The following is a 21,769-nucleotide window of genomic DNA, read 5'->3' as shown; positions in this document are numbered from 1 at the left end:
TCCGCCTCCTGAGTTCAAACGATTCTCCTGCCTCAGCCTCCTGAGTAGCTGGGATTACAGGTGCCCGCCACCACACCCAGCTAATTTTTGTATTTTTAGTAGAGATGGGGTTTCACCATGTTGGCCAGGCTGGTTTCGAACTCCTGACACCATGATCTGCCCGCCTCAGCCTCCCAAAATGCTGGGATTACAGGCATGAGCCATCGCACCCGGCCTGTAAATAGGTCTTTAATAATGTAGTAAGGAGTTGAGGAGGGGAAGTGTTCTATAGTCCTACGGGTAGGTCTCAGTCTTTGAGTGAGCCTGTACTCTGGACTGTGAACTTCACAAGTGTTTCTCAGGATTTTTCTCCTTCTTCAGTGGAACAGGATGGCTAAAGTGGGCTGGAGTTGAGGAGCCCATTCCTCCTTCCACGTGGAAGGGTAGACCTGACTGGAACTGGCTATTTCTCTTCCCCCAGGTCAGTTAGGCTCAGATAAAACCCCAGAAGGTTTGGCTCTGGTTAAATAGTTTCTCCCAAGGGCAGACCTTGCTAAGAACAGAATGCTCTGCCATATTTCAAAATGGTTTATTTTCCTCTCCCTTTGATGGAAGCACAAGGGGATTTTTCTCAGATATCACTGAGAACCTGGTTGAGCTCCTAGAGGTAAAAATCATAAGTGTGAGGGTCCCCAGTGATTGGGTCCCCCAAGTCTGACATTTTTATTCTCAGACTTGTCCACTCTGAACCTCCAGCAATTTGTCAGTTACAGTTCCGGGTTCCCTATCTTGGCACTGGGTTCCCATAGAGGTTTCAGCTCATGGGTTTCTCCTCCAGCAAGCTACTTCTGAGCATTTGTGTTCTGGTCCCTGCAGTCTTAGGGAGAGTAGTTTGCCCTTGACCCTACCTCTCTTACACATCTAAAAGAGTTATTGATTTTTTAGTTCAGCTTTTTAATTATTGTTAGGATAGAGTGGCAACTTCTAGCTTCTTACATGTCAGACCAGAAACTGGAATTCAAGTATTTTTTTTTTTTTTTTTTGAGATGGAGTTTTAGCTCTGTCACCCAGGCTGGAGTGAGTGGTGCAATCTCGGCTAACTGCAACCTCCGCTTCCCAGGTTCAAACAATTCTCCTGCCTCTGCCTCCTGAGTAGCTAGGATTACAGCCAGTAAGCCTGGCTGACTTTTTTGTATTTTTAGTAGAGACAGGGTTTCACCATGTTGGCCAGCCTGGTCTTGAACTCCTGACCTCAAATGATCCGCCTGCCTTGGCCTCCCAAAGTGCTGGGATTACAGGTGTGAGCCACCGCACCCAGCCAAGATAATTTTTTTCTTTATTTTGAGATAAATACGGAGTCACATGAAATTGTTAAGAAATAATAGTGAAATCTCATGTACCCATTTACCCATTTTCCATCAATGGAAATAGATATTGCAAAACTGTAGCACAATATCACAGCCAGGATACTGACATTGATACAGTTAAGATATAGAACAGTTCTTTCACTAACGAATTCTTCATGTTGCCTCCTCACAGCTGCAAACTTGGTAACTTCTAATGTGTTCTTCATTCCTATAATTTTGTCATTTCAAGAATGTTATATAAGTGGAATCATATGTATGCCACCTTTTGAAACTGGCTTTTTTCATTCAGCAAGTCTCTGGAGATTCATCCAAGTTGTTATGTGTATTAATAGTTGGCTTTTATTGCTGAATAATATTCCACGGCATGGCTGTATCACAATTTGTTTAACCATTCACCTGTTGAAGGACATCTGGGTTGATTCCAGTTTTTGGCTATTATGAATAAGGGTGTTATGAACATTCATGTACAGGCTTTTGTGTGAACATAAGTGTCCACTTACCTGGAATGAATGACCAGGAGTGTAATTATTGTCATTTGGTAGTTGCATATTTATTTTTTTAAGACACTGCCAAATTGTTTTTCACAGTAGTACCAGTTTATATTATCACTAGCAATGTATAATCCAGTTTCTCTGCATCCTCACCAGCAACTGGTGTTGGCAATAATTTTTATTTTGTGATTACATCTATAGATCAATTTTTGGAAAACTGACATCTTAATTTTGTTGAGTTTTCCCACTCATTAATATAGTATGTTTCTCTAGATATTCTTTGCTTTCATCAGCATTTTATAGTTTTTATTATGCAAGTCTTGTACATGTTTTATTGGATTTACATCTAAGTATATCATTTTTTGGAGTGACAATAAATGAAAAAACATTTTCAATTTTGGTGTCCACATGTTTATCACTATTGTATATAAATACAATTGATATTTGTATGTTTATTTTGTATCCTGCAACCTTGCTGAATTCATTAGTTCTAGGAGGTTTTAAAAATAGATTCCTTGGGCTGGGTGCGGTGGCTCATGCCTGTAATCCCAGCACTTTGGGAGGCCGAGGCAGGTGAATCACCTGAGGTCAGGAGTTCCAGACTAGCCTGATGAACATGGAGAAACCCCATCTCTATTAAAAATACAAAATTAGCCAGGCATGGTGGTGCATGCCTGTAATCCCAGCTACTTGGGAGGCTGAGGCAGGAGAATCACTTGAACCCAGGAGGCGGAGGTTGTGGTGAGCTGAGATCACACCATCGCACTGCAGCCTGGGCAACAAGAGCGAAACTCCATTTCAAAAAAAAAAAAAAAAAAGATTCCTTGGAGTTTTCTACATAGATAATAATGTCATGTATAAATAGAGACGGTTTCATTTCTTCCTTTCCAATGTCCATGCCTTCTAATTTCCTTTTCTTGCCTTATTGCATTGCCTAGAACTTCTAGTACTATTCTGTATAAGACTGGTGAGAGCAGGTATCTTTGCCTTAGCCTTACTCTTGATTTTTTTTTTAACAGACAGGGTCTCACTATGTTGCCCAGGCTGGCCTTGAACTCCTGGGCTCAAGCAATCCTCTTCTCTCAGCCTCCTGAGTAGCTGGGACTACAGGTGCGCACCATCATGCCTGTCTCTCCTGATCTTTTGAAAAATATTGAAACCCTATGTCTTAAGGCTTTTTAACTTGAATTACACTATAGACTAATACTTAATGTTGCCCCGTTAGGTATTCATTTGCATATTAACTTTCCTCTCTGTTTTTTTAGAGATGGGGGTCTCACTCTGTAGCCCAGGCTAGAGTGCAGTGGTGTGATCATAGCTCACTGCAGCCTCGACCTGCTGGGCTCAAGCAATTTCCCACCTCAGCCTCCTGAGTAGCTGGGACTACAGGTGTGTCCCTCCACATCCAGCTAATTTTTTTTTTAATTTGTACAGATGAGGTCTCATTATGTTGTCCAGGCTGGTCTCAAACTCCTGACTTCAAGTGATCCTGCTGCCTTGGCCTCCCAAAGTGCTAGGATTACAGGCATGAGTCACTGTGCCCAGCCTACTTTTTAATCTATACAGCTAAAGAGGATATCTTAAAAGCAATTAGACTTCTTCCTTGCTTAATGTCCACGATCTTATATATGTTCTTTCTAAATTCGAGAAAAATATTCTGCAGCCGGGCGCAGTGGCTCACGCCTGTAATCCCAGCACTTTGGGAGGCCGAGACGGGCAGATCACAAGGTCAGGAGATTGAGACCATCCTGGCTAACACGGTGAAACCCCGTATCTACTAAAAATACAAAAAAATTGGCTGGGCGTAGTGGCGGGCGCCTGTAGTCCCAGCTACTCGGGAGGCTGAGGCAGGAGAATGGCATGAACCTGGGAGGTAGAGCTTGCAGTGAGCCGAGATCGCGCCACTGCACTCCAGCCTGGGCGACAGAGCAAGACTCCATCTCAAAAAAAAAAAAAAGAAAGAAAAAAAAGAAAAATTTTCTGCAAAGGGTGTCAATGTTAATATTATAATAATTCTTTAACAATGAATTCCTCTCCAAATGCACTTAGAGAAATGTACATAAGTGTGAGAAATCACCATTAAGTACACTTAAATCTACACATTGACTAGTTCTAGCTGAATTTCTAGTTTATGAAAAGGTATTAATGTTTCTAGTTTATGAAAAGGTAATGAGGAAAACTTTCTTTAAAAGATGTGTTTAACAGCCAAATCAGATATACTGAACAGACATAAAAAAGTAACAATATTTTTTTCACCTCAGGCCTTTCCCCTGGTTTGATCTGACTGCTGTGCAACTCAAGGAAACTCCGTTTAGCCAGCATCTCTCAAGTAGTCCTGTTCTCCAAGACCACCTTACCCATCTATACTGTGCTTCATTTGGCATCTCCCTAACCAAAGAACAGCCAGTCATTTCCACAGGCTTTCCATCCCAATAAGAGAACTCAGGAATCAGGATTTTTTCCCACTCACAGATTTTCCCTATAATAGTTGTGCCCTGATTATCACAATTGACTGTGGGAGTCTTGTGGCTGTATTGTGTTTGCCACATGATAGACATCAGGAATTATAAAACTGTACTGATGACTCTTTAAAATGTAGAATAAAACAAGTGGTCCTATCCATCAATATGTATCTGGCTCTCAGAAGCAACTAGTGAAACTACACAACCTAACTTAAGTAAGCTGCTCCCGCAGAAAAGTCTTGTTAATACAAATTATTTCTCTTCTAAAATTAAAGAAGTTATAATGTTATAAGTTTTAGACAATTACATACTGCAGCTTCTTTTCCAATAAATCAAGTTTCAATCCATTTGCCAGCAGTAGGTAGCTGGAAAAAGATACAGTTTGATTTTCTCACAATTTTGGACAGAGAAGTGAAGGTATGGTAAACCATCTTAATTGAATTATGGCTTGTATCATGCTTATTTTGACTATATATGACTGTTCTGGTACTATCTTATTTACAGCTGTTCCCATTTAAACCATTTAAAAAACTGGTATTTAATGGCTAAAACTAATTTTGCAAAATATAGATCTATACTGCAAATTTGTTGATTTCCTTTATGTTTTGCAAATACTTTTTGTCAGTTATAAGAGTTGAAAACAACAGGGATGTCACTATGCTCTGTCATAGAACATAACTACTGTTTGCTAAATGCTAAAGGGCTTTTGAACAAAACCATTCACTATATATGTAAATCACTATGGTCTTAGGTTAATCATTTACCTTTTGTTTTTTTACATAATCGTGAGCCAGGCAAATGCAATGGTATGGTGTTAGAATGGTTTCTGATACAATTTTGTTAGTCCAATTTGGGAAAATATTAGGTTCATCATCAAATATTAACACTTGGCATGAATATTCATTTGAGGCACTCTTGCTTTTCTCAGTGGAAAAACAGAAAAACATCTTTTACTATTCATTCTGGTGTAGGGAACTGGAGCTTCATCACTGTCCTTCAGGACTGTGTTAGCCCATGGTTGTTTTCAGAATTAAAATATGAGTCCAGGAAGAGAATGAGCAGTTAAATCTGTAAAACTAGAGGGGAACTGGAGCCATTCAGGTAACGAGAAATATTTTATAATTTCTTTTTTTATTTTTATTTATTTATTTATTTTGAGATGGAGTCTCACTCTGTTGCCCAGGCTGGAGTGCAATGGCGCAATCTTGGCTCACTGCAACCTCCACCTCCCGGGTTCAAGTGATTATCCTGCCTCAGCCTTCCGAATAGCTGGGATTACAGGCGCACACCACCACACCTGGCTAATTTTTGTATTTTTAGTAGAGACAGAGTTTCATCACATTGGCCAGGCTGGTTTCAAACTCCTGACCTCAAGTGATCCACCTGCCTCGGCCTCCCAAAGTGCTGGGATTACAGGCATGATCCACTGCACCCGGCCTATAATTTCTTTTGAGAAGTGCAGTCATGGGTAGACTCTAGCCTAAATTTTGTATTATAAAGACCTGGAAAGTACCACATAAAAAAGCCTGTAAGCAAACCACAGAACCTATTTCATAGTGGTAAGCCATGTTTAGATATTTACATATTTAGATACACACATATCTAAAAAAATTTTTTTCTTTTAAATTTTTCCTGATGCCAAAAGGAAGAGAGAACTTCCCCACTTTTTTTTTTGCAAAACATTTCCTTTAGGCCAGGCGCAGTGGCTCACACCTGTAATCTCCCCACTTTGGGAGGCCGAGGCAGGCAGATCTCTTGAGGCCAAGAGTTTGAGACCAGCCTGGCCAACATGGTGAAACCCCGTCTCTACTAAAAATACAAAAAAAATTAGCTGGGAGTGGTAGCTTATGCCTGTAATCCCAGCTATTCAGGAGGCTGAGGCAGGAGAATCACTTGAACCCGGGAGGTGGAGGTTGCAGTGAGCTGAGATCACACCATTGCACTCCAGCCTGGGCAACAGAGTGAGACTCCATCTCAAAAAAATAAACAAAAAACCACCATTTCCTTTAAAGAACTTGTCACTGCAAATCCTTTTACTATGTCTTTGAGATGTATGTAAATCTTTTAAAAAGCTGAATATCTCTAGCCATTTTATACCTCAGGACAGTCTCTTTTTTGGAGGCCACGGAGACATCTCTTTGAAATGTGAGCACTGAGGAGGTTGGTACCTTGTCTCCCTGTCTCTGTGGGAGTTTAGCTTAGGTACCTGGCTCCAAGTAGTAACTTCTGTCTGTTGTCAAGATAGAAGTTTTATTTTTCCTTTGGACACAGATAATTAACATGTATGTCGTGTATTGTATCTGCTCTGCCATCTACAAGGGTGAGATTTGTCTTTGCAATCTCTTTAGCAGCTTGCCTGTGATGTGCATCACAGTTTAATGCTTATTCAAGAATAAAAATGTTTCTCTTCTGCATTTGTGGAAAGAATTATCTCTCCGGAGTTGGCAGGAGATTTTATTTTTAATTATATTTCCCCAACATGTTCCTATTACAAGGTGCATTACTAGAATTTTTCAGGAATTTTGTTTTGCTTTGTTTTGTTTGTTTGTTTTAGACAGAGTCTCACTCTGTCACCCAGGCTGGAGTCCAGTGGCACCATCTCAGCTCACTATAACCTCTGTTTCCTGGGTTCAAATGATTCTTCTGCCTCAGCCTCCTGAGTAGCTGGGACTACAGGCATGTGCCACCATGCCCAGCTAATTTTTGTATTTTTAGTAGAGACAGGGCTTCACCTTGTTGGCCAGGCTGGTCTTGAAATCCTGACCTTAGGTGATCTGCCCGCCTCAGCCACCCAAAGAGCTAGGATTACAGGTGTGAGCCACCTTGCCCGGCTCAGGAATTCTTATAATTACCCAGAAAGATAAGCGTGACTATCTTTGTTTTAACAAGGGGTTAAATTGCAAAAAGAAAGGGAGGGTACCATAAGTCAGAGACACAACTAGGAATGAAGCCAGCAGTTCTAACTGATCCTTAATGAAAAGGAGAAAAAGGGCCAGGTGCGGTAGGTCACGCTTGTAATCCCAGCACTTTGGGACGCCACGGCGGGCAGATCAACTGTTAGGAGTTTCAGACCAGCCTGGCCAACATGGTGAAACATCATATCTACTAAAAATACAAAAATTAGCTGGGCATGATGGCGGATGCCTGTAATCCCAGCTACTCGGGAGGCTGAGACAGGAGAATCGCAAGGTTGCAGTGAGCTGAGACTGTGCCATTGCACTCCAGCCTGGGCGACAGAGCAAGACTCTGTCTCAAAAAAATAAAAAAAAAAAAAAGGAGAAAAAGAAAACCAAAAAAGACCATACCTCTTCCCTCAAGTAATTTAGTTTGATCTTTCAAGCTCTGTGAAGTGGATTTCCCCTATGGTTCAGTGCAAGGTAATTCCTCATTCTCTTCAGGGGCAGTTATTTCTGGAGCATAATCCTGTAATCCTGCTGCTTTGACAAATTCAGATAAAGTCAAGGAATCAGATTTTATCCCAGTATGACCTTTTTGCTCTAAATATAAGCCGATAATATCCCTATAGGGAAGGCTGATGGAGCGTTTGAATAATGGCTCTTCAATTTCCAGGAGCTCCTGCGTATGCCGAGAAATTGCCTGAAACGCAAGGATAAATTTTTAATTAGACTAACCTGAAAACACAACCAAATCAAAGAAGGTTTATTTAGTTTTCTAAGCCTCTTGAATATTAACTCCTTATTTCTTTCTTTTTTTTGAGACGAAGTCTTGCTCTGTCGCCCAGGCTGGAGTGCAGTGGCGCGATCTTGGCTCACTGCCACCTCTGCCTCCTGGATTCAAGCAATTCTCCTGCCTCAGCCTCCTGAGTAGCTGGGATTACAGGCGCACACCACCACGCCTGGCTAATTTTTGTATTTTTAGTAGAGATGGGGTTTCACCATGTCGGCCAGGCTGGTCTCGAACTTTTGACTTCAGGTGATCCGCCCACCTTGGCCTCCCAAAGTGCTGGGATTGCAGGCGTGAGCCACTGCACCCTGCCAATTCCTTATTTCTATGGGGAAATAAAATAATGAAACAAATTCACAGGCTTACTAGCCTAACCTTACCAAAACCAATTTCTTAAATGTCATGATTATCCTTTTCAAAGTACCATTTAAGACATTTCTAGGCCCTTGCATCAGATGGCCATGGATGGGTTCATTTCTTTGTTTTTGCTGAGCAATCTGACCAAGCATAAGAGCAGATAATATGTTCAGATTAGGAGCCATGACTGTCTCTGGGAAGGTTATTAAATAACTTGTCTATATGGGGCTCAGTTAATGTGTAACTAAGAAAAAAAATTATAACTCAGGGCCGAGCATGGTGGCTCAAGCCTGTAATCCCAGCACTTTGGGAGGCAGAGGCGGGCAGATCACCGGAAGTCAGGAGTTCGAGAACAGTCTGGCCAACATGGTGAAACCCTGTCTCTACTAAAAATACAAAAATTAGCCAGGAGTGGTGGCAGACGCCTGTGATCCCAGCTACCCAGGAGACTGAGGCCGGAGAATCGCTTGAACCTGGGAGATGGAGGTTGCAGTGAGCCAAGATCATGCCATTGCACTCCAGCCTGGGCAACAAGAGCGAAACTCCATCAAAAAAAAAAAATCATAACAAATAGTTACCTCATTTATTTAACTAAAAAACTCAAACACTAAAAAGCAGACATTAAAGTTCGAGCTGTTTTATTAGTACTTATACTTGTGTATTCTAAAATATCTTTTGCCACAATTTTCAGCATCTGTAAAACAAAATTTGTATTCATTGAGCACCATGCCACTTGATATCCTAGCTTAAATTGTGATTGCTGGCCAGGCCGTGGCTCACGCCACGCCTGTAATCCCAGCACTTTGGGAGGCCAAGGCAGGCAGATCACGAGGTCAGGAGATCGAGACCATCCTCGCTAACATGGTGAAACCCCATCTCTACTAAAAATACAAAAATTAGCCAGGTGTGGTGGCATGCTCCTGTAATCCTAGCTACTTGGGAGGCTGAGGCAGGAGAATCACTTGAACCTGGGAGGCGGAGGCTGCAGTGAGCCGAGATCGCACCACTCTACTCCCGCCTAGGTGACAGAGAGAGACTCTGTCTCAAAAAAAAAAAAAAAAAAAAAATTGTGATTGCCTTTTCAAATTCTAGTTTTAATCCTAGGTCAGTTATAATACCACTGTTTGAATTCATATTCTGCCTCTGGATGAGACGACAGTCCATGGAATTGCTGCTAGAACACAGCCAAAGGGTATTTGGAATGGACTTTTTTGTTGTTTTTTTTTTAATTTAAAGCTACTGGTCAGAGTTATAAGACTGTAAAATTTGTGCCACAGACAATGCTAAACCTGATATAAAACTGCCCATTAGCAATGCCTTTTAGATAGGCAAGATGCCATGTTTCTCAGATCTTACTTGAACTGGTTTTGTTGACTCTAGAGATGATTTATGGGTATAGTTGCCTTGGCATTCCGAGTAAGGATTCTGTTTTTTTTTGTTTGTTTGTTTTTGTTTTTTGTTTTGTTTTGTTTTAGAGATGGGGTCTTGCTGTGTTACCCAGGCTGGAGTGCAGTGGATATGCAAAAGCACAATTATAGTGTACTATAGCCTTGAACAACTGGGTTCAAGCCATCCTCCTGCCTCAGCCTCCTGAGTTGTCCAGTGAGAATTCTAATTGAGATCTTTATCAGTTGGGGCTTCTAAGAACTGAGATCCAAGTTACTACAAAGGCCAGGTGAGGTGGCTTATGTCTCTGGGAGGCCGAGGCAGGTGGATCACCTGAGGTCAGGAGTTCGAGACCAACCTGGCCAACATGGCAAAATCCTGTCTCTACTAAAATTACAAAAATTAGCTGGACGTGGTGGTGCACGCCTGTAGTCCCAGCTACTCGGGAGGTTGAGGCAGGAGAGTCGCTTGAACCTGGGAGGCAGAGGTTCCAGTGAGCTGAGATCGCACCACTGCACTCCAACCTGGGTGATGCAGAGAGATTCCATCTCAAAAAACAAACAAACAAAAAAAACAAATTGCTACAGAAAAAAAAAAAGCCAGTCGTGAAGTTGCATGCCTGTAGTCCCAGCTACTTGGGAGGCTGAAGTAGGAGGATCTTTTGAGCCCAGGAGTTTGAGACTGCAGTGAGGAGCCATGATCATGCCACTGCACTGCGGCCTAGGTAACAGACCTGTCTCCAAAAGCAAACACACACACACACACACACACACACACACACACACACACACACACGAACAGGTGGCTTCTAAGACTTCTTGTTTGTGATGCATGCTTCTACGTGTGCACCTTGTTTGGTAGGCATCTCACCCTGATTCTCTTTTAGTATATGTGCTGCCAAAGCAAGTACCCTGATTCTCCTTTCCAATGCCCCGAATAGAAAAGGTTATTTCACAAATTCCCTAAGGTTCACAGATTGTATTCCCAGGAGGTACACTGCAGTCATATACACATTATTAACAAAAAGAGCTGTGTGCCCACTGTGGGCTGAGAGGGTTCACTACTGTTTTGCACAGTATTGTAATGCAGAAATTAAAAGTGTTCCCTACACATTCGTGTGTATTTATTTATCAAGACAGGAAGGTCTTGCTCTGTCATGCAGGCTGGAGTACAGTGGTGTGATCATAGCTCTCTGCAGCCTTGAACTCCTAGGCTCAAGCCATCTTCCTGCCTCGGCCTCCCAAGTAGCTGGGACAACAGATGCATGACAACATACCCTGCTTTTTTTTTGGTAGAGATGGGGTTTTGCCATGTTCCCCAGCTGGTCTCAAACTCCTGGATTCAAGTGATCCTCCTACCTCAGCCTCCAAAATGCTAAGATTACAGGTGTGAGCCAGCTGCTCAGCCACATTCATGTGTTTTTGGAATTTTTCTTTGTTTTGGGAAGGGAGTATATATATATAATCTACTCATATTCCCTCTGTGGGCTATAACAGCAAATGATACGGGTTTTTTTTATGGCTCTTGGTGCTTAGGGGTTTCTTAATAAAAATAATAATTTCATAAAAAAAGCAATTCATTACACTTAGCACTGAAATCAATAAATACAATCTGACTATCTCTCCTCCTATTCAGTGATTTTTAAAAGTGTGTCTGAAGTTCATCAATGAAACAAGAAGTCCTCTGACAGGTGAAAGATTGAACTAAAACTGCAGTTTCTTTCTTTAGTTATTATTCTTTTTGAGACAGGGTCTCGCTCTGTCAATCAGGCTGGTGTGCAGTGGCATGATCATAGCTCACTGCAGCCTTGACCTCCTGGGTTCAAGTGATCCTCCCACCTCAGCATGCTGAGTAGCTGGGACTACAAGTATGTGCCACCACACCTGGCTAACTTTTAAAATATTTTTTATAGAGCTGGGGTTTCACTATATTGCCCAGGCTGGTCTCGAATTCCTAGGCTCAAGCGATCCTCCTACCTCAGCCTCCCAAAGTGCCGGGATTATAGGCGTGAGCTACTGTGCCCGGCCTCTCTAGTTCTGATGAACAAACAACAAGCAGTAGACTTTATTTTTGCCTATGACTTAGAGCAACTTACTGGCAAATTACTTGAGTTAGTAAGGATTATTGGAAATAGGTATTTGTGAGGATGATTAGTTTTCTAAGGATTCATAATTCTACATTCTAAGGTGATAGCTTATACTCAGTGCGTGGCATCACGGCAGAACACCTACTTCACATGGCCTCAACCAGTTACCTGCAATGCCTGTGGTTTTCAAGAAGACAATTATTACTATATTATCATTGTAACTTGTGTTGATCATTGTTTTCAAAGGCTGCTGTTCTTTTATTTGTAAACTACTGATGGTTTTGCTTCATCACCAATTTATTGTGTATTGGTTATTACCTCATAGTATGTAACTATGCATATTTGTATAATTGGAATCTATAATTTATATGATCTAAACCTAAAGACAAAGACATAATTGTTGTGGTTAAAATATGAACCATCTATACCACTATTATTATTATTATTTCAGAGATGAGGTCTCCCTCTGTTGCCCAGGCTGGAGTGCAGTGGCATGACCATAGCTCACTGCAGCCTCAAACTCCTGGGCTCAGGCATTCCTCCCACCTCAGCCTCTGGAGTAGCTGAGATTACAGGTCCAAGCCACTGCAGCCAGCCTATACCAGCATTATTAAAGCAGATGTATAGTCTCCTTAACATCTGCTTGTTGATTCATCTAACAACATGGATTAATCTTAAATGCATTTTGCTAAGGAAAGGAAGCCGGACCCAAAGAATGTGCATTATTTGATTCCACTTATGTGACATCAAAAACAGATTAGGGATTACGGTAAAGGGATGGGCTGACTGCAAAGGGAAATTCTAGAGTGACAGAATTGTTCTGTATGGTTCTTTGGTGGTGGATACATGAGTGCATGCATTTGTCAAAACCCACAGAACTACACACAACAAAGAATGGTTTTACTGCATGCAAACTTTTAAAAAGCCAGGAAGAGAGGCCAGGCGCAGTGGTTCATGCCTGTAATCCCAGCACTTTGAGAGGCCAAGGTGGGTGGATTGCTTGAGCTCAGGAGTTTAAGACCAGCCTGGGCAATATGGCGAAACCCCATCTCTATCTCCTCAAAAAAGTACAAAAAATTAGACGGGTGTGGTGGCATGTGGCTGTAGTCCCAGCTACCCGGGAGGCTGAAGTGGGAGGATTATTTGAGCCCAGGAGGTGGAGGTTGCACTGAGCTGAGATTGCACCACTGCACACCATCCTGGGTGACAGAGCAAGACCTTGCCTCAAAAAAAAAAAAAAAAAATCCAGGATGTTGGGGTGGAATAAAGGCTGTGGACAAATGAATCTAACTGTATTATAGAGTAAGACATAATCTCACTGAAGGGGGTGGGGAAGAAAGGTGCTGACCTGTAACTTTAAGAAAACAGTGCTTTGTCTAGATACTGTAAGGCGAGAGACAGAAACAGCTGTACACAAACACTGAACTCTATTGGGTAAATCTGTCTTTCATAGGGAAACATATTTACATATAAGGAGAGCCAAGTTTCTCAATGTCAGAAAAAGTAGTTATAAACAGGCAAGGGGGTATAATCCCAGCACTTTGGGAGGCCAAGACAGTCGGATCACCTGAGGTCAGGAGTTTGAAACCAGCCTGGCCAACATGGCGAAACCCCATCTCTACTAAAAATACAAAAAAAATTGGCCAGGTACAGTGGTGGGCGCCTGTAATCCCAGCTACTCGGGAGGCTGAGGCGGAAGAATTGCTTGAACCTGGGAGGCAGAGGTTGCAGTGAGCCGAGATCGCGCCATTGCACTGCAGCCTGAGTGACAGAGTGAGACTCTATCTCAAAAAAAAAGAAAAAAGAAAAAAAAAGGCAAGTGGGGTTGGGGATAGGAAGGATGGGAAGGAAGGCTAGAATGAACTCTGTGATGTTAGATTAGAGATATCAGAGAGATCAATCTTTTTTTGAGATGGAGTTTCACTCTGTCATCCAGGCTAGAGTGCAGTGGTATGATCTCAGCTCACTGCAACCTCTGCCTTCCAGGTTCAAGGGATTCTCCTGCCTCTGCCTCCCTAGTAGCTGGGATTACAGGTGCGCACAACCAGGCCCGGCTAATTTTTTGTATTTTTAGTAGAGACAGGGTTTCACCATGTTGGTCAGGTGGTCTTGAACTCCTGACCTCAGGTGATCCACCCGCCTGAGCCTCCCAAAGTGCTGGCATTACAGGCATGAGCCACCACGCCCGGCCCCCATGCTTATTTTAATACATATGTATATACACAGATAGATACGAAATAAGATAGATATTTGTGTACACATGGGTTAGTATATATACATTTATTTCCTAGATCTTTCTGTTAAGAGTGCATAGAAGCAGTGACACTCAGTAGCAACAAGCACAACTAGTGTCCACGTCTTGGTTTCTAAATACCATCCTCTGATAAAATCAACCAGGGCTCCTTAGAAACATGGCTGATTCTGGGGCTGCAGCAGGAAAAATATAAGATGAGTCCGAAGCAACTTATATTGCCAGAAGGTAAGGAGATGCTTTAAAAAAAAGGGAGGACATGTCAAAAGGCCACAAGAGCCAATTTAAAAGAGCCCCCAATGGTGAAAGATGGCACAATTTGAGCAACAAAATAAATAGCAATAGAACTGGGTTATAACCCCAAAAATAAATATCCATAAGTCCACACTAATATCAATGACTGAATGGATTAAAAAATGGGAGAAAGGGGACAATTAAATGTAGAAGAATTCCTTACAGAAGAATTCCAATTAAACATAGAAGGGCTGAGAAGATAACAGAAAATGGCCATAAATTAACTGCAAGGCTTGTATAGGAGGTGCACAGTGGCAATGCTGTTCAGATTCTTAGCAGCATGTCCAGAATTCCACACTCTCAAGCAATCTGCTCGCTCTTCCTTCCTTCTATTCTCCCAAAAGTCCATAAATGATGATATGGGAGACTCAGCATGAAAAAGATAACTATACTATTTAACTGTTGTTATGGGATAAATTGTGGGTGAACTAGGTGCTGTAAGTACAATGGAGACATTTTAAAAGCTGTGTATATCAGTAAGGAAGACAGCTACAGCATGTATGACCTCCTAGAAGTTACCCTGTGTCTTAGAGCATAATCAGGTTTTTTTTTTTTTTTTTTTTTTTTTTGAGACTGAGTCTTGCTCTGTCACCCAGGCTGGAGTGCAGTTCATGGAGAGCACAATCTTGGCTCACTATAACCTCCGCCTCCCAGGTTCAAGCTATTCGCCTGCTTCAGCCTCCCAAGTAGCTAGGACTACAGGCATGCAACATGCCTAGCTAATTTTTTTATTTTGTATTTTTAGTAGAGAAGAAGTTTCACCATGTTGGCCAGGCGAACTGCCAACCTCAGGTGATCCACCTGCCTTGGCCTCCCAAAGTGCTGGGATTACAGGCGTGAGCCACCAGACCTGGCCATAATCAGCTTTTTCATGTGGGTCTAAGTGTCAAGCAAAGCTTATCTAACGTAACCTTTGGATGTCTTGGTCTTTATGTTACTCTAGTGACCTCAAGGGAAGGCCACATTTGTCTGAGGTGACTGTGATAATGAGTATCTCAAAGTTTGCTTATTCAAATTTCTTAGATAAAAGGACAGACCACTGGATTCGTCATTTACTCTTGAGGATTTCAGAAGATTTTTAAAACCTCTTGTGTCTCGCAAGATAAGAAAAACTATAATTAGAATTTTTATTACTGCATGTTGATATTGTACTTTTGGAATTAGAATACCAAGGGAGCTGAATGAATTGTCTGACTCTTAAAAATGCCTTCTCATGATAAAAAGCTGAAATTCTTGGTACTTAAATGTTCCAGGAATTTGACAGGTTACTATTTTGCTAATTCTGTTCCTTATTATTATTATTTTTTTAAGCGAAAGCAAGTTTATTAAGAAAGTCAAGGACTATGGCTGCTCCGTAGGCAGAGCAGCCTGTTCCTTATTTTTATCTAGAAAATTCATTATACCTTAAGTAGAAATTAGAGTTCATAAAAACAGCTGTATTATCTTTGAACATAAAAAGAACAAGATATTTATCTGGCAGTACTTGGTAGTTAAGTGAGGGCATGGTTGGAAATACAAGTATATAATAAATGATCCAGGCTGGGCATGGTTCATGCCTATAATCCCAGCACTTTGGGAGGCTGAGGCGGGTGGATCTGAGGTCAGGAGGTCGAGACCAGCATGGCCAACATGGTGAAACCCCGGCTCCACTAAAAATACAAAAATTAGCCAGACATGGTGGCACGTGCCTGTAATCCCAGCTACTTGGGAGGCTGAGGCAGGAGGATTATTTGAACCTGGGAGGCGGAGGTTGCCGTGAGCTGAAATCGAGCCACTGCACTCCAGCCTGGGTGACAGAGCAAGACTCTGTCTCAAAAAAATAAATAAAATAAATAAAGGATCATTTCCACATCATAATGTTTATAGTACATGGAAGTTTATGGTAACAAAAATGTTCACTTAGGCAATACAGTTAAATAGAACATGGATTGGGAAGTCACACAAGATGGACTTAAATCCTGGCTCTTAAACTTGTTATCTGAATATAAGTCGGGCGTGGTGGCTCATGCCTATAATCCCAGCACTTCTGGGAGGCCAAGGCCGGCAGATCACTTAAGGTCAGGAGTTTGAGACCAGCCTGGCCAATATCATGAAACCCTGTCTCTATTAAAAATACAAAAATTAGGCTAGGTGCGGTGGCTCACGCCTGTAGTCCCAGCATTTTGAGAGGCCGAGGCAGGCAGAGCACGAGGTCAAGAAATCAAGACCATCCTGGCTAACACGGTGAAACCCCATCTCTACTAAAAATACAAAAATTAGCTGGGCGTGGTGCCACGCGCCTGTAGTCCCAGCTACTCGGGAGGCTGAGGCAGGAAAATCGCTTGAACCCGGGAGGTGGAGGTTGCAATGAGCTGAGATCGCACCACTGCACTCCAGCCTGGGCAACGGAGTGAGACTCGGTCTCAAAAAAAAAAAACCCCAAAAAAACAACAAGAAGAAAAAATTAGCTGGGCATGGTTGCGCACACCTGTAGTCCCAGCTACTTGGGGGGCTGAGGCAGGAGAATCGCTTAAACCAGGAGATGGAGGTTGAAGTGAGCCAAGGTTACACCACTGCACTCCAGCCTGGGTGACAGAGCGAGACCCTGTCTCAAAAAAAACAAAAACAAAGACAAAAAACAGAAAAAACGTATTATCTGAATAGCTTGTTAAGTTGTTTCACCTTTCTGGGCCCCAGTTTTCTATAAAATGGGAATTAGTGAAATAATACATATAAGAGGCCCCAAACACAGTAAGCTCTCAGCAAAGCATAGCTATTAGCAGAATTTAAGAAAGTAAACGCTCAGTTAGGACTGTATGTTTAATAATTTAAAAAGTTTCGTTATATCTTCTTGCTAGTAAAAGGACTCAGGTATTAACAAGCATAGTTTTCTTATTTCTAAACCATATGACTTATGGAATTTTAGGGTTATAAGGCCTGTTGAAGAGTCATCTAGGGAAGAGATTCCAGGGCCTACCCAGCCCTAATGAATCAAAATCTCTGGAGGATGAAGCCTAGGAATGTATCTTTTTCAAAAAATCTCATTTGATTCTGAAGACGACCCAAGTTTGGAAACCACTGAGGTGGTACATTTCTGGGCATGGGTGTGCTGAGCAAAACCATGGTTATGCCAAGAACTGTCCATTCTTGGAGGGTTATTGGGGTGGGGTACTAAAGGAGAGGTTACACGTGAGATTGTTTGTGATGCTTTGTAAATTGCAAAGCACTACAAATGGAGGGTACTGTTATGCAAAGGAGAATAATCATGAACTGTTGGTGCTGGAGATTTTAGAAAATTGATGCTCAGAGTGGTTAATGTAGCTTGTTTCAAAGTTAGGCAGCAAAGCAGGCAAAATACATATGGTGTTATATAAGTGCCAAATGGGTGTCAGAGACACAAAATGTCATGAGAACTTGGGATGGGGGCTACTGTGGGCTGGGAATGTTACAAAAGACTTCTTGGGGAGATGCAAATGAGGAACTGGTCTTGAAGGATGATTAAGATTCATATTAGTAATACAGAGGATGGGGGAACTGAGCGAAGACATAGAGAGAAGAACGCACCAGGCAGGTTTGCGAAGGTGTTAGACCTGGTGGTAGGCTGGAGCACAAAATTCATGTGGAGGAGTGGTAGGGGAGAGAACTTGTGGAGGGCCCTAAATTCTAAACTAGGGAGTGGAGACTATCTTGGTAAGCAGAAGGGATCCAAAGAAGGTTTTTGAATAGTACATAAGTAGGTGGAAAGTGAGAGCATAAAAGCAGGGCCCTTGAATCCAAAGGGTCCATTGAGACAGGCTAAAAGCGGGAGGCCACTGTGGTGTTCTAGGCATGAGGCCATAAGGTCTGAAAAGTGGGAATGAAGAAAGCCAGACGGTGTAAGTGCCACAGGAGCAATGGACAGTTCTTGGAATATTTATGGGGATCAAAGGAGAAAGAGGAGGCAACCACCGTGAGCCTGAGGAACTGGAATTATGATGACACCATTGACAGAAGTGGGAGGCCAGGCTGGAGGAAAAAAAGGTTGGTTTGAGACAGATGGTGGCACTGTTAACAGTGCTCTGTAGGGAAACTTTGGACACAACTCACCTTCATGTCCTCAAAGTTTGTTATCCCCATCTGAGGGAGGTTTGAGCAGTTGACGTGAATGAGTTTTCGGCCACTGATGAAGTTTGTGATAAAACACTCCTGTCAATACAACAAGGACATCACTTAAAAAATGTACTGCAAATAGAAGGAAGAAAGGGAGGGAAGGGGGAGGAAGGGAAGAAGTCGTGTTTGTTCTACCCTGAGAAAAAAATATTATTTTGTTTTTTCTTTTTTAGAGACAGGGTCTCACTCTGTCATCCAGGCGGGAGTGCAGTGCTGCAGTCATAGATCACTGCAGCCTCGAACTCCTGGACTCAAGCAGTCCTCCTGCCCCAGCCTCCTGAGTAGCTTAAATTTACTTTCTATCCCAATAACGGCACAATTTTTCCATGTAAGCTCTTTATTAAATTTTACACTGCTCTTTAACTGTTTTTTTGGGCATGGTACAACCAGTGCTTCTTCATGTCTCAATTACATTTGTAAGTATAGTAGGTACAAAAGGTTTCAGATCTTGTATTGTTTTGTGGTAGCCTTAAACCTAGTTGGCATCAGTGAAACAAGAGGTTTACACTGACTTTTTACTAAAACTAGTTTTGGTTAACTGGCTAACTTGAATTAATACACTTAAGTGCTCATGATACAGGTGACATATTTGGGGCAGACACTTTAAAAAGTAATAGCACAAGTTCAAAGCAAGGGAGCTGCCACTAAAATAACTTGACAAAGTACCAAAAAGCCTACCTTGAACAAAGTCTACTTAAAAATACAGTTTTCTATGAAAGGAGGTCTAAGGCCGGGCACGGTGGCTCACGCCTGTAATCCCAGCACTTTGGGAGGCTGAGGCTGGCGGATCACGAGGTCAGGAGATGGAGACCATCCTGGCTAACACAGTGAAACCCCGTCTCTACTAAAAATACAAAAAATTAGCCGCGCATGGTGGCGGGCGCCTGTAGTCCCAGTCCCAGCTACTCAGGAGGTTGAGGCAGGAGAATGGCGTGAACCTGGGGAAGGTGGAGCTTGCAGTGAGCCGAGATCGTGCCACTGCACTCCAACCTTGGCAAGAGCGAGATTGTGTCTCAAAAAAAAAAAAAGAAAGGAGGTCTATATACTCTTCTTGGTCTTTTATTCAAGGATTGCAGAGAAGTGTAATCACTGGAAGAGGAAAAACAAACCGATGTGACCCTCCCTTCCTCTCCCAAAATACAAATATACATCAGTGGCAAGGCCAAAATTAAAATCCAAGTTACCTCTACCACAGTCTAGGACTTTTTGATACTCCTTCCGGTAAAGAGGTAAGAGCTCAGGCCAAGTTAGAAGGAATAAGAAGTAGACGGATGACAGCATGTGATTTCAAAACATCTTATTTTTGTATACCTTGTATTGAGGGAAGCCTAGCTGGCTAATCCACTCTGCAACTTCCTCTGGATCCCAATTAAGATGCTCAAATTGTAACTCAGTCCCTTTTTCTGGCTGGGTTTCGTCATCTTCAGAGACCCGTTCCTTCAACTCTTGGGACAAATCTACAACTTCCTTTTCATGAACGAACTCACTTAATTCTGTCTGAGACTCTGAGGGATCTGAGTATGAGCATTCTTCACTGACATTAAGCAATTTTTGGAGTGGTTGCAAAAACTCATAATGTGTACCAATTGATTCTTCACTTTCTCTGAGAGATCCTAATGCGTAATATTCTTTTCTAAATTTGTCACTTAGTGACAACTTTCCTCTTTTAGGCTCACGGTGCTCTAGCTCATCGTTTCCTACAGAATACTTAGACTTTATTGGTTCTGGCCTGTCTTCCTTGGAAAATTCTACATGTGTCTCCCTTGGTTTGGTTTCATCTGGTAACTCTAGAATTTTCTCAGTTGGCTTTGTTTGTGTTTTCTCTTCAACTTGTGGGTTGATCTCCTGTGGTAGCACTGGACCAGTCTCCTCTGGTGGCTGTGGATTTTTTTTCTCATTTGACTTTCTTATCTCTTCTGGACTTTCTGGTTTCATCATTTCTGATTGTTCTAGAATTGTTTCCTCATTTGTTTTTCTTGATTCTTCCTCAGGAAACTCTAATTTGATCTCTTCTAGTGGCTCAGGAACGTTCTCATCAGTAGACTTTCTTGGCTTGTGGTCTGGAAAGTCTGGTTTAGTCCGCTCAGGTAGTTCTGTCCCTTTCTCCTCAGTTGCCTTTCTTTGCATCTCCTCTGGAACCTCTGGTTGAGTCTCTTCTGGAGGCTCTAGACCTGCCTCCTCACTAGACTTTCTTGGTTCCTTCTCCAGAAATTCCAGTCTAGCCTGCTCGGGTGGCTCTGTCCTTTTCTTCTCAGTTGACTCTCTTTGTGTCTCCTCTGGAGTCTCTGGTTTGGTCATCTTTGGTGGCTGAAGATCTGTCTCTTCAAGTGATTCTCCTAGTTTCTCACTTGGAAAATCTTGTTTGGTCTGCTCTGGAGGCTCTAGACCTGTCTCTTCATGTTGCACTCTAAGTGATTCCTCTGGAACCCCCGGTTCAGTCTCCTCCTCTAGTAATTCTAAATTTCTCTCTCTGACTGTGGCCCCCGAAACCTCAGACATGGTTTCCGTTGGTGGCACTGGATCTGGATCTGTTTCCATAGCTGACTCTAGGAACACATCCTCTGTAACATTTGGTTTAGCCTCCTCTGGTGGCTCTAGGTCTGACTCTTTATGCGTTTCATCCATAGGGGCCTCCAAATCTTTGAAAAACTCTCCCATCTCTCTGGATGTTTCCGACTTTACCTCTTGGTGTATCCCTGGTTCAGTTTCGCTTGGTACGTCTCTCTTGGACTCCTTGGCAATTCCTTCCTGGGACGTCCCGCCAGGTTTCAGCTGCACGTTCTTAGCACTGTCTGGCTCCCCCTCTTTGAAGTCCTCTTCCTCGGTCTCTGGCTGTGGCTCTTGGTAAATCTCTGCTGGTAGCTTCGAGTCTGCCTTTGCCATGGTGTCTGGTTCGGCATTTTCATACAATTTATGAAGTCCAGGCAGTTCAGGCCTCTCAGGCTCCAGCTCTCCATCTTCATCTGGGCCGGAATCATAATCCTCCGGGACTTCAGCCATTTGCAGCTTAGCAGACGCGCCGCGGCTTCCTAGCAACCCCAACTTCCGATAGCGTCTCTATGGATACCACGATTTCCGGCAGTGTCTTCCTGACTCTTCCCCAGGTTTTGTTTGTTCTTTCAAGCCCTGACTTTAAAAATCGTCTGTCACAAGCACGCAGTAACCCTCCCTGCGGCCTCATCGCCAGCCTCAGCGGGCCAGAGCTCCTGTGGCCGCCCCTGGGTCAGCTAGCTTTTCAAGCGGCCGCCGCGCCGCTTCTTCCGGCCTGCAGGCTGCGCTCGGCT

General features: G+C 42.7%; 2 protein-coding genes across 7 annotated transcripts in view, besides 5 other annotated features; one reads left to right on the top strand and one right to left on the bottom strand.

The window, feature by feature from the left end:
• Positions 1-4,883, top strand: part of NOXRED1 (NADP dependent oxidoreductase domain containing 1) — a 31,993-nt gene extending 27,110 nt beyond the window's left edge. For all 6 annotated transcript variants that reach the window (XM_011536429.4, XM_011536428.4, XM_005267330.5 and 3 more), the window contains one exon: positions 4,099-4,883. In XM_011536429.4, the coding sequence (XP_011534731.1) occupies positions 4,099-4,273 (175 nt within the window). In that variant the 3' untranslated portion in view covers positions 4,274-4,883. The remainder of the gene's footprint in view (positions 1-4,098) is intronic.
• Positions 4,884-6,740: 1,857 nt separating this feature from the next.
• SAMD15 (sterile alpha motif domain containing 15) lies at positions 6,741-21,525 on the bottom strand. The gene is made up of 3 exons (NM_001010860.4): positions 19,797-21,525; positions 18,423-18,521; positions 6,741-7,896 (listed from the first exon to the last, which is right to left on the bottom strand). The coding sequence occupies exons 1-3, from the start codon at positions 21,483-21,485 to the stop codon at positions 7,660-7,662; spliced, it is 2,025 nt and encodes a 674-aa protein (NP_001010860.1). The 5' UTR covers positions 21,486-21,525; the 3' UTR covers positions 6,741-7,659.
• Positions 8,422-8,622: a silencer, noted in NCBI's record as "peak2207 fragment used in MPRA reporter construct". NCBI's record gives its function as "represses an SCP1 promoter by STARR-seq MPRAs in K562 erythroleukemia cells {active_cell/tissue: K562}" and the evidence as "EXISTENCE:reporter gene assay evidence [ECO:0000049][PMID:32103011]".
• Positions 8,476-8,620: an enhancer, noted in NCBI's record as "145 bp enhancer 277 fragment used in the MPRA reporter construct; PK_construct_490". NCBI's record gives its function as "activates an SV40 promoter by MPRA in HepG2 cells {active_cell/tissue: HepG2}" and the evidence as "EXISTENCE:reporter gene assay evidence [ECO:0000049][PMID:23512712]".
• Positions 8,542-8,555: a transcriptional cis regulatory region, noted in NCBI's record as "HNF1 motif; enhancer activity is reduced when this motif is scrambled". NCBI's record gives its function as "necessary for full MPRA enhancer 277 activity {active_cell/tissue: HepG2}" and the evidence as "EXISTENCE:site-directed mutagenesis evidence [ECO:0005528][PMID:23512712]".
• Positions 18,229-18,409: a silencer, noted in NCBI's record as "fragment chr14:77846838-77847018 (GRCh37/hg19 assembly coordinates)". NCBI's record gives its function as "represses an EF-1alpha promoter that drives an FKBP-Casp9 reporter gene in an ReSE screen in HepG2 liver carcinoma cells {active_cell/tissue: HepG2}" and the evidence as "EXISTENCE:reporter gene assay evidence [ECO:0000049][PMID:32094911]".
• Positions 21,543-21,752: an enhancer, noted in NCBI's record as "active region_8800". NCBI's record gives its function as "activates an Ori minimal core promoter by ATAC-STARR-seq in GM12878 lymphoblastoid cells {active_cell/tissue: GM12878}" and the evidence as "EXISTENCE:reporter gene assay evidence [ECO:0000049][PMID:35858748]".

This window comes from Homo sapiens, chromosome 14, assembly GCF_000001405.40.
Source record: "Homo sapiens chromosome 14, GRCh38.p14 Primary Assembly".
Taxonomy (NCBI): domain Eukaryota; kingdom Metazoa; phylum Chordata; class Mammalia; order Primates; family Hominidae; genus Homo; species Homo sapiens.
Note: the sequence above shows the minus strand (reverse complement) of the source record. Positions and strands in the feature narration are given on the sequence as shown.